At 36.0% G+C, this 12,191-nt stretch overlaps 1 protein-coding gene across 1 annotated transcript in view, besides 1 other annotated feature; it reads left to right on the forward strand.

The window, feature by feature from the left end:
- Positions 1-12,191, forward strand: part of NUS1 (NUS1 dehydrodolichyl diphosphate synthase subunit) — a 35,259-nt gene that overhangs the window by 9,689 nt on the left and 13,379 nt on the right. The window contains exons 2-3 of the mRNA NM_138459.5: positions 7,885-8,010; positions 8,874-9,023. Of these exons, the coding sequence (NP_612468.1) occupies positions 7,885-8,010; positions 8,874-9,023 (276 nt within the window). The remainder of the gene's footprint in view (positions 1-7,884; positions 8,011-8,873; positions 9,024-12,191) is intronic.
- Positions 1,836-2,036: a silencer, noted in NCBI's record as "peak6055 fragment used in MPRA reporter construct". NCBI's record gives its function as "represses an SCP1 promoter by STARR-seq MPRAs in K562 erythroleukemia cells {active_cell/tissue: K562}" and the evidence as "EXISTENCE:reporter gene assay evidence [ECO:0000049][PMID:32103011]".

Here is a 12,191-nt window from a genome sequence, read left to right on the forward strand (position 1 = left end):
GTTTATTAAGAAATAACAAAAGCATGGTAGTCTTTCTGAGGTATAACTTTGCTAGAATAATATTCTTCTTTCACGGAAGTTGAAGATTTTGTGGTTTTACTTTTATTTTTTTCAACTTTTATTGTAGATTCAAAGGATATGTGTGCAGTTTCCTTACTTTGGAAATTGAAGATTTTCTCGTGTGTGTTTTGTCATAATGGCTATTTGATATATCTTTTCTTTCTTTCTTTTTTTTTTTAGAGACAGGGTCTTACTTTGTTGCCCAGGCTGGAGTGCAGTGGTGCGATCATAGTTAACTGCAGCCTTGAACTCCTGGGCAGCCTCCTGAGTAGGTTGTACTACAGGCACAAGCCACCATGCCTGGCTAATTCTTTTATAAAGACAGGGTCTTGCTACATTGCTCAGGCTGGTGTCAAATTCCTGACCTCAAGTGATCCTCCCATCTCAGCCTCCCAAAGTGTTTGGGATTATAGGCATGAGCCACCATGCCCAGCCCATTTAACTTTTTTCTTTATATTTCATATAGTTTACATTTGGGAAATTGAGAGTACGTGAAATATAATTTTAAAGCAACAAAACATAAAGTAAAAATCTTTAAGTCATTATTGCAAAAACTTATTTTAGATTCCCAAGTCACTCCTAAAGAATTCAAATATCTGTTTGCCCTGTGAAACCTCCTTAAAAGCCTTTTTAAAAAGAGCTCTGGAGTCAGGAGAATCACTTGAACCCAGGAGGTGGAGGTTGCAGTGAGCCGAGATCGCGCCATTGCACTCCAGCCTGGGTGAGAGAGTGATACTCCGTCTCATTAAAAAAAAAAAAAAGGGCTGGGCGCCGTGGCTCACGCCTGTAATCCCAGCACTTTGGGAGGCTGAGGCGGGCGGATCATGAGATCAGGAGATCGAGACCATCCTGGCTAACACGGTGAAACCCCGTCTCTACTAAAAATACAAAAAATTAGCCGGGCGTGGTGGTGGGCGCCTATAGTCCCAGCTACTCGAGAGGCTGAGGCAGGAGAATGGCGTGAACCCAGGAGAAGAGCTTGCAGTGAGCCGAGATCGCGCCACTGCACTCCAGCCTGGGCAACAGAGCAAGATTCCGTCTAAAAAAAAAAAGCTCTAGTCCTAGTTTTTTCGAAAAATACTACTCATTTATTAAAAGATAGGTTGTATTTATTTTATAAAATTCAACTTTTTTGGAGGAATTCAAAATTTAGTTGTATAGTGGAGTTTAGTATTGTTCCTTTATCAGAGTTAGAAATAGTAACTGAACTGAATAATTTGAGGGATACCTGGATTTCAGGCCAAATTCTTAGATGCTTGGCCAAAGACAATTGCTTGACCTTTATGGATCTTTTTCCTCACCTGTAAAAGGTTGGAATAAAGTGATTCTTGAGGTGCAATACTATATAATTCTGTAAAATACTGTTTTCTTAAAAATTTGAGTATTTTCAAGTGTTTTCCCTTAATCAGTTATTTCTGAATGAATATGGCCTTAGCTTCCTTTTACATAAAATAACTTTTGTAATAGTTTCTTTATCATTTTGGCTTTAGTTTGGATCCTAGAAGGGAAACAGGATGAATTATAATATGAGAAAAAGAATCTGTACATATACTATGATATTACTAGAGGAATTGCCTGTTTTAGTCAAAGCCAACCTTATGTCTTGTATTTCTTGTGTATCATGTGAAGTGTGTATGTGTGTGTGTGTGTGTGTGTGTGTGTGTGTGTGTGTGTGTGTGTGTAGACATTGAATCCTGAAGAAAACTGTAAGCTGATAATATTGCTTGTGAATAAGTATGATCAGATTTCTGGGTGGGGGTCAAGTTATGAGTTATTAGGAATCATCTTGCCCATAGTGTCTTATCTACACTCTTAGCAATTCTCAGAAACCATACCTTTAAATTTTACTTCTGCATCCAAATCAGCCAAGAAAGATTCTGTTCCAATAACTGTATGAAAGTCTTTATAAGAGACATTTTGTAACTGTGTCTCTCTGTAATATTCTTTCCTTTTAGTGGAACTTCTGCCTGTGTGCAATAAGGAAGTGTCTGCTTTTATTGTGGGATGTTCCTGGAAACTTAAGAAAAATTCCATTCAGTGACATGTTCCTTTATGTTTCATTATTGTTAAGCAGCACTTTGTACATTGGTAATTCAGTTGATTAAATAAACATTGAACTGCTATATGGAAAATATGGGAAAAGAGATGAGTAAGACACATTCACAAATAAGACTACAGTTGAGGGGAGGGTGGAGAGATTTAAGCTATAATAAAAAGTAGAATATTCGTTTATTAACAAGTTTAAATGAGTGTATGTGGAGGGGTTGAGAGTGAGGGTAAGTCAGAGGAGGAATGGGGCACATCTGGCTGGGGAATTGGGAAAGGCCTCTTGAAGGTAAATGACATTTCAGCTGGCCTGTGAAGAATTAGGAGAATTTAACAGGCATGGGCTTGGGGAAGTGGCATAAAGGATGGAGGTTGGAGTCACTCCATGTGTTTTTGAGGAACATAGGCAATTCTAATTTGTGGGGATAAAGTATTACTGGGAAATGGAAAACTTCATTTGATTTCTGTTCAACAAGCATGGAAGCATAGGCTGGAATGTTAATGTTGGGCTGAGCAGTTCGTTCTTAATACACTAGGCATTTTAGGAAACATTTAAGATACTGAAGTTGGAATGTGCCAGGATTGAATAAGCTGGTGGTGAAGCTAGCAGTACTTAATAGAAGGGGGCAGGAACACCCACAGAAGTTGCTTATAATATTATAAGGAAGTAGGCTGGGCCGGTTGCTCATGCCTGTAATCCCAATACTTTTTGAGGCCCGAGGAGGAAGGATCACTTGAGGGCCAGGAGTTAGAGACCAGCCTGGTCAACAAAGCAAAACCCTGTCTCTACAAAAATAAAAAATAAAAAAATTAGCTGGGCACAGTGATATGCACCTGTAGTCCCAGCTACTCAGGAGGCTGAGGCAGGGGAATCACAAGCCTAGAGGCTGGAGGCTGCAGTCAGCTATGATAGCCCCACTGCACTCAGCCTGGATGACAGGGTGAGACCCTGTTTCTTAAAAATATGTGTGTGTATATATAATAAAGAACAGCACAATGGCTTGGAGCAGTGTGGGCAATGGACAGAAAGGAATATGGATATAGGAAACATTGCTGTAAAAGAGTATATGGGCTTAGCATAATTAGTAGGGCTTTGGGGGTTGATAATGGGAGAGTAGAGAGAATGCCTGGGTGACTGGGCAGATACTGATGGCTTTTTTAGAAATAGAGCGTCAAGAAGGAGGACTTTTTTTTTTTTTAAATTATAAACCACTTTATAGCAATTACAATTTTAAATCACCTGCTGTCCTACTACCCCTATACATTTACTGTTCTCATTTTGCTTGTCCTCTTCCAGTCTTGTTCTTAAGTGCAAGTAAGTTATACACTTAAAGTCCTGCTCCTTTTAATTTATTTTCTACCCTTGATGTCATATAAGTGTTCCGAGAGCTAGCTTTATTAGATAAGCCGCCAAGGTTTGGCTTTGTTCACTCTCGGATGCCTACAGAACTTCAAGGTAGAGTTAGATGTTTGAATGAACTAGAAATGTTAGGAACCAAATGATCCTGTTTCTACTTAAAATTTTAATGTTTTGTTCATCATGGATAGTTTGGCATTTTAATTTTTAAAGATACTGCATTGTTATTCATTATCTTAATTACTGAGTTTTTTTGGCACCCCCTTAAATTTTTGCACCCCAAATTTTACCTCACTTATTTTTGTCTGGGCTTTCTTTGTTTTCAAGACTGGTGAGTGACTAGAATCAGAAAAGAAGGACCACATGGACAGAAAGAGAGGGCTGAGACGGGAACCCTGAGGAATAATCTTTATTTAGGGTGAAAAGAAGAAGAGGATTCAGTGGAAAGTGAGAATGGGCCATTCAAGGAGCCAGGTTACGTGTTGAATCAGGAAGAGAACATTGAGACAAGTTGGGATAAAGATAGAATTTTGAGAAGGAAGCATGGTGGTCATTAATGGTAATGCTTCAGAGAAGCTGAGGAGGGAAGAATTAAGATTGAGGAGAGGTAGTGAATATTCTGGTGATAAGGTTGTCATCCATTGCTTTGAAGAGGGCAAGAGTTCCTGAAAAGATTTACCATTTTAATCTGGAGGCTAAGGTAAATATGAACAAACTGGTGAGAACTGAAGGCTAGGTTTTTAAAAAGAGTATCAAAGGAGGGGATTGGTGTGATGTGAATAGACAAAGCAGGCTTTCCTAGTATTACCCGACACTATTAAAATGAATAAATCTTAGTTTTTATGGGAAAGGGAGTCATTTACCATTTGATTTTTAATAAACTTGTATGTTCTGGCTGGAGTGTTATGGAGATTTTACATTTTTTTTTGTTTTGTTTTTTGTTTTTTTTTGTCTGTTTTAAAGAAAGAGTCTTTCTCTGTTGCTCAAGTGGAGTGTAGTGGCATGATCATAGCTCACTGCAGCCTTGAACTCCTGGACTCAAGCGATCCTCCCACCTCGGCCTCCTGAATAGCTGGGACTAAGAGCGTGTGCCACCACGTCCAGCTAATTAAAAAACATTTTTTTTGTAGAGACAAGGTCTTGCTATGTTGCCCAGGCTAGCCTCTAGTTCCTGGCCTCAAGTGTTCCTCCTGCCTTGGCCTCCCAAAGTGCTGGGATTACAGGTGAGAGCCACTGGCACCCAGCCCATTGTTAAATTAAGAAATTTTTGAAGTTTATATGACTTCCACAATTTATACATATAATACAGACCAAAGTGTGGTCTAACTTGTATAGATAGTTGGAAATCTTGTAAAATTTATAAGCTGGCATCATATATTTTATATGCTGTTTTGGAATATATGCTTTTTATATACATGTGAATTTTATGATTGATATGGGGATATAATGATTATATCCTACACTTCTGCATTACTCCACAGGTATTACTGTTCTAAAGATTGCCATTCAAATAGCTCCTGATATTAATCACCTTCCTTTAAAAATTTTGCTAATATTTAGTGATATATTTTTTGCTTAATCTTGTTCTAGATATGGCTGTTTCAAAATGTTCACTTTTATATTTCCACGCTTAGAGTCTTATGATTGTGGGCTTTCATAATTATTGTGGGCATTCATACGTAGTGCCATCTTAGCCTTCTACTTTTCTCTATATATACCTAATTATATTTGAAATCTTACTAATCGTTATTCTTGTGTATATGGCTGTCCCACGTTAAGGAGGCTGACTCCCAAGTGTATATATATCTATGTCTCAGTTTCTGAGCTCCCATATTCTTTCAGCAGACATTTATTTATTGTTTGCTCTGTGCCAGGCACTGTGGTTGGCCCTGGTGAGCAAAACAGATAAGATCCCTACTCACATTGGTGCTTATATGACCTCTTTTGAACTCCTTCTGTGTCATCTCTCTTAATCACTTCTATAGTAATCCTCACCTAAATTTTCTATCATCGGCTGTCTAAAACCGAACTCATCCTTTCCTTCAAACAAGTTCTCTTTGTGGAATTTTCAACTTTTAAAAATGTTATCGGCTGGGTGTGGTGGCTCACACCTGTAATCCCAGCACTTTGGGAGGCCGAGGTGGGCGGATCACGAGGTCCGGAGGTCAAGACCATCCTGGCTAACACGGTGAAACCCCATCTCTCCTAAAAAAATACAAAAAATTAGCCGGGCATGGTGGCGCATGCCTGTAGTCCCAGCTACTCAGGAGAATCGCATGAACCCAGGAGGCGGAGGTTGCAGTGAGCCGAGATCATGCCTCTGCACTCCAGTCTGAGTGACAGAGTGAGAGTCTGTCTCAAAAAAAAAAAAAAAAAAAAAAGATTATCATTTTCTGCTACCTAGGATAAAAGCCATGGAATTTTCTACATTCACTTCTAAGTCAGTCATGTACCATATTCTCTCAATTCTTCCTTTGTGGTAAATCCTTTTTCCCCTCATCGCCTCGACAAATTATGTATGGACTAATACAGTAGTCTGCTGCTTGCCCTTCTATATGCTGTTGCCAGATTAATTCTTCTAAATATGCACATTTTTATGTATTTCCATATTGCTCAGAAATTGTTGCTTATCCATTTGATAGGCAGAATGAGATAAAAACTAGGACTATCCTCTTACCAATTTTTTCATATCCTTTGCATCAGCAGCATTGGTCTGTTTTTTTAACATTCCGAACTCATGCTTTTTCTTAAGCATTTTTTCCCACCTGATATCTTCTCTAGTTTTTTCTGGTTTAACCTTCAGAGTTCATCTCAGCTCAAATCTTATTTTATAAAGCCTTCCTCACCAAAGGAGACTTTTGTAACTACTGTTACACATATACTTCTGGCTTGGCATTTGTATACAGTATATTCAGCAGGTTCTGTGCCATAGATATAGATATATATATATATATATATATATATATAGTTCAAAATATATATTCAAAAGTGATATAATTTTGATTGTTTAATTATATATTGATTTAATATATTTATATTATATATATTTAATATTTATTGATTTATATATTTAATTATATATTGATTGATATAATTTTAATTGATTGTTCAGAATACTCACCAGAATTTGCAAATAGTAATGACAAAGATGATCAAGGTAAGCATGAGTGTATAATTGAACATGTAACATATGAAGATGTGTGTTTTGTGTTTCATGGCAATTTCTGTTACTCTGTCATTTATTCATCACGTTGCTCTGTTACTCTTTAATGTCAACATCTTTAATCATCAGATTTAGACTTTCCCATCTTAATCTTGGTAAAAAGTGAATACATGGTAAGGATTTTATTAAACCAGGCAAATTTTTAAACTAGTTCCACAGAGAATCCATAGAATGGACACATTTGTAGGGATATTGAAATGAATATATAAATAGAGGTACAACTGGTTGTTCTATGGGGTGAGGAAAGAAATTGAATCTTTGCTGGACAAGAAAGTTGGAAATTCTACAAAGAGAACTGGTTTGATGGAAAAGATTTAAGCAGCTTTATATGTATATATTTATTATATATATGTGTATATATTAGCCTGTGTTCTCTCTCCCAGTTATTTTGTTAAACTACTTTAAAGTCATGCCTGACTGAGAGTGCAGAGTAGGAACATTTGATAAAGATTAAAAAGGCAATGGCTACTAGAAAGCTGCCTCTGCAAATTGTCAAAGACTTGTTCCTTTTTTTTTAGTCAGAGCTCTTACTAGTTTTACATTAAATGTATGTCACATAGTTCCTTTGTCTTTCTCATCTTTCTCAATAACATGACAGTAGTTAACAGTGTTAACTTTTCCCTGCATAGAGGACCATACATTGTTCTTTGTATTTTATTTCTGTGCTTTGTTTTAAATTTACTAAATTGTTTTTCTGTTCTCTTTTTACGTAATCCTTATTACTTCCTCTTATGATTTAAAAAACTAATCAAATTGAGGCAAGATTATTTAATACAAGTAGTAAATCTGCAGAAAAGGTACATTAGACTGTGAGTGAGGAACATAACAGGCTCTAGACCACTGCTGCAGTTTATAATTTCTTGGAGAAGAACCTTAAAGAGTTTAGGCCTCAGTTTCTGAATCCATAAAGATTTTAAGTAAGTGATCTCTTAAAATTCCTAAGTCTAAATTTCTGTCATATTCACATGCCACTACTTAAGTAGTTACCTCTGTTCTTTTTTTTGCTGGAAGCCAGACTCTTGTATTAACAAAGTTTTGTTGTCATGTTTTCCTTTTAGATTCTAGTTTAGGACTAGTCATTACAGCTTTGTTTGACATTCGTTTAGTTCTGGATCTAGTGTTGTTTTCATAGCAAGCATTCACTTGAAGAGGAAAAATTAACCTAGTTGTGTTTTACTTGCCTTTTTCTTTTTTAAAGGTATTTTCAAAAGAAATAATTCCAGATTGATGGATGAAATTTTAAAACAACAGCAAGAACTTCTGGGCCTAGATTGTTCAAAATACTCACCAGAATTTGCAAATAGTAATGACAAAGATGATCAAGGTAAGCATGAGTGTATAATTGAACATGTAACATATGAAGATGTGTGTTTTGTGTTTCATGGCAATTTCTGTTACTCTGTCATTTATTCATTCACGTTGCTCTGTTACTCTTTATTGTCAACATCTTTAATCATCAGATTTAGACTTTCTCGTCTTAATCTTGGTAAAAAGTGAACACATGATAAGGATTTTATTTAACCAGGCAAATTTTTTAACTGGTTCCACAGAGAATCCATAGAATGGACACATTTGTAGAGATATTGAAATGAATATATAAATAGAGGTACAACTGGTTGTTCTATGGAGTGAGGAAAGAAATTGAATCTTTGCTGGACAAGAAAGAATTTGCATGTCTATAGATAAGAATTTTGCAGTGTTATCTGAGAATCCCATCAATTGTAAGATAGCTCCTATAAAAGTAGAATTGATAAAGGTATGTATGCTATAGGCAATGCATATTCCACTCTAACAGTTTTTTCTTAGTCTTTATTTTTTCTTTTATTCTGTGTTACTGCTAACGATATCGCAATTATACAGGAAATTTTAGATGCGTGAAAATTTGTTAGCTAGCCTATAAAGTTTCTGTTTTCTAGAGGATGTAGTCACAATGTATAGTCATTCTGAACACTTTGAAAAGAAGGCAGTGTATAAATATATACATGGATGTGATTTGGGATATATGGATCCTTTCAGAGGAGAATAGCTAAGTATGTTTTGATATTGAAATTGAAGGGCTTAAAAAATTCTTGTTTACTGTAAGAACTGTATGTTTATTTTGGTTTAACCTTGTATTTCTTAAAACTGCTTTTGAAATATACCTGGAAGAGAGTGTTTTTAAAATACATTGTTTGTTTTTTCTTCCAGTTTTAAATTGCCATTTGGCAGTGAAGGTGCTGTCTCCGGAAGATGGAAAAGCAGATATTGTAAGAGCTGCTCAGGACTTTTGCCAGTTAGTAGCCCAGAAGCAAAAGAGACCCACAGATTTGGATGTAGATACGTTAGCCAGTTTACTTAGTAAGTTTTTTTATATATATATACATATATATGTATATGTATGTGTGTGTGTTTAGTTTTGTCACACGAGGATACAGTATGAAAGAAAATATTTTTGTTTCTTTCACACCATAAAGCCTGATTCTTTTGTTGTTAATACCTGTTAAATTTCTGAAATTTAAAGACCTATGTAAAAATGGTTTCGAGACAATGAAATTTGTAGCCACTCACTCGCATGAGGATTTAATGGTAAAGGAGATGACCTTTGAGGATCTTTTTTGTAGTGATGAATATTCTTGAAAATAGGACTTCTGCTTGTTAGCCTTCCTCTCCCTCTTCCCCTTTCTTTTTAGTTTGAACTTTCCCTTAACTTTGAACTTAATCTTTTTATGAGGTGATCCCAGGAATATAATCTTACTGTTACCATGATTCCTTTTTAATTATTCTTTCTATTATGCTATACCAAATATACAACTGTATTTGTCATGTTATACCAAATATAACTTTTTTTCTTCAGCTGTTTAAATAAGCCTTTGGTTTGCATATTCTGTCTAGAGAATTCCCTCTAGGACCTTTTTGCCATAATGTCATGGTTCTTCTTGCTTACTAGCATTAGCCTTGATCCTTTTGAAGAAAGACAATCTCTCTAGTAAATTCATGTTCATTAATAGCTTCTATAGGCATACAGTTTTAGACATTCATTCATTTTTTATTACTTAGACTATCCATTTACTTATTAATCGTGCATTTTCAGGCTGGATGGGGTGGCTCACACTTGTAATCCCAGCACTTTGGGAGGCTGAGGCAGGTGGATCGCTTGAGCGCAGGAGTTTGAGACCAACCTGCGCAACATAGCAAAACCCCATCTCTACAAAAAATAAAAAATTAGCCAGGCATGGTGGCTCACGCCTGTGGTCCCAGCTACTCAGAAGGCTGAAGCAGGAGTATAGTTTGAGTTCAAGAGGCAGAGGTTGCAGTGAGCCAAGATCGCATCAGTACACTCTAGCCTGGGTGACGGAGTGAGACCCTGTCTCAAAAAAAAAAAAAAAAAAAAAAAAAAAAGAAAAAGAAATGCATTTTCTATCTTAACTTATTTACTTAACTCTCCATTCTTTGTTTCTTCCACTTTGACATGTGTCCGTCACAGAGCAAAGTCCATCTCCCACTTCTTGGTTTCGCTAACTTCCTACTTTTGTTGACTACTTGCTTCTTACCCTACCCTGTCATTGCCTAATTATATTCAGGCTCAGTGAGTAGTAGACCATTATGGGGCCTCTCTGCTCAGATGTTACTGGGATGTTGACTGTTTCCTGCACCCTATGAGACCCTAATAAGAGAGTAATTTCATAAGGACATTCTAAAAGTTGATGGAGATCCAAAGATGACCTTCAGGTAGTCCATGGGAAAGCGCTAATGTTTATTAAGCCCAGTTGTTGCCTTCAGGCATTGTAAGCTTAGGATAAATGAAAATGTACACAATTCTTAACTTATTAATTTGACAGAGGCAAGCATTCTGAATACCATCACCATCAAAAGTTCCTTTGTGACTGCATTTAGTCCCCACTCCTGCCCCCTAAACCAGCAACCACTGGTCTGGTTTCTGACTATACTTTCGCTTTTTCTATAAATTTTATATAAAAGGAGTCATACAATATATAGTCTTTTATGTCTTGCTTTGTTTACTTACCATATTTTTGAGGTTCATCTATGTAAAATGCATTAGTTATTCATTGTTTTTTATTGGTGAGTAGTATTTTCTAGATATACCACGTTTTGCTTATGCATTCATCGGTTAATGCACATGTGGTTTGTTTCCAGTTTTTGAATAATGCTGTATGACTGTTTGTGTACAAGTTTTTGTGTGGATGTTTGTGTGTTTTCAAGAATTCAGAAAGTCAGAATTCTATCAGATAAATTTAACAAAGAGAGTGAAATAATTAAAAAGAATCAAGCAGAAATTCTGGAGTTGAAAATGCAGTTGACATACTGAAAATGCATCAGAGTCTCTTAATAGCAGAATTGATCAAGCAGAAGAAAGTTACAAGCTTGAAGATAAGCTATTTACAAATACAGAGAGGAGACAAAAGAATGAAACACACCTACAAAATCTAGGAAAAAGCCTCTTGAGGGCAAATCTGAGTTATTGGCCTTAAAGAGGAGATACAGAGAGAGAACGAGATGGGTTACAAAGTTTATTTAAACCTAGAGAACTTCCCAAACCTAGAGAAAAATATCAGCATTCAACTACAGGAAGATTATAGAACACCAAGCAGATTTAACCGAAAGATGACTACTTCAAGGCATTTAATAATCAAACTATGAAAGGTCAAGGATTTAAAAAAAAAATGGATCCTAAAAGCAACAAGAGAAAAGAAACAACATACAATAGAGGTTCAACATATCTGGCAGCAGACTTTTCAGTAGAAACCTTACAGGCTGGGAGAGAGTGGCATAACATATTTTAAAAAGTGGTGAAAGAAAGAAACTTTTACCCTAGAATAATAGTATGCCCAGTGAAAATATCCTTCAAACACGAAGAAGAAATAGACTTTCCCAGACAAACAAAAGCTAAGAGATTTTATCAGCACCACACTTTCCCTGCAAGAAATGCTAAGGGGAATTGTTTAATCAGAAAGGAAAAGATGTTAATGAGCAATAAATCATCTGAAGGTACAACTCTCACTGGTAATAGTAAGTACACAGAATGTTACAGAACTGTAACTGTGGTGTATAAAACTGTCAAGTAAAAAGACTAAAAGATGACCCAGTCAATAATAATAACTAAAACAACTTTTCAAGACATAGACAGTACAATAAGATACAAATAAAAACAACAGAAAGTTTTAAAATGGGGAGATGAATGTAAAGTATACAGTTTTTATTAGTTTTCATTTTGTTTATTTGTTTATGCAAGCAGTGTGGTAATCAGCTTAAAATAATGGGTTATGACAGATAGTATTTGCAAGCCTCATGGTAACCTCCAATCAAAAAACATACAAGAGATACACAAAAAAATAAAAAGCAAGAAATTAAGTCATACCACCAGAGAAAATCACCTTTCCTAAAAGGAGGACAGGAAGGAAGTAAAGAAGGAAGAGAAGACCACAAAACAACCAGAAAACAAATAACAAAATGGCAGGAGTAAGTCCTTATCGATAATAACATTGAATGTAAGTAGACTAAACTCTT

This window comes from Homo sapiens, chromosome 6 (genome assembly GCF_000001405.40).
Source record: "Homo sapiens chromosome 6, GRCh38.p14 Primary Assembly".
Classification (NCBI taxonomy): Eukaryota; Metazoa; Chordata; class Mammalia; order Primates; family Hominidae; genus Homo; species Homo sapiens.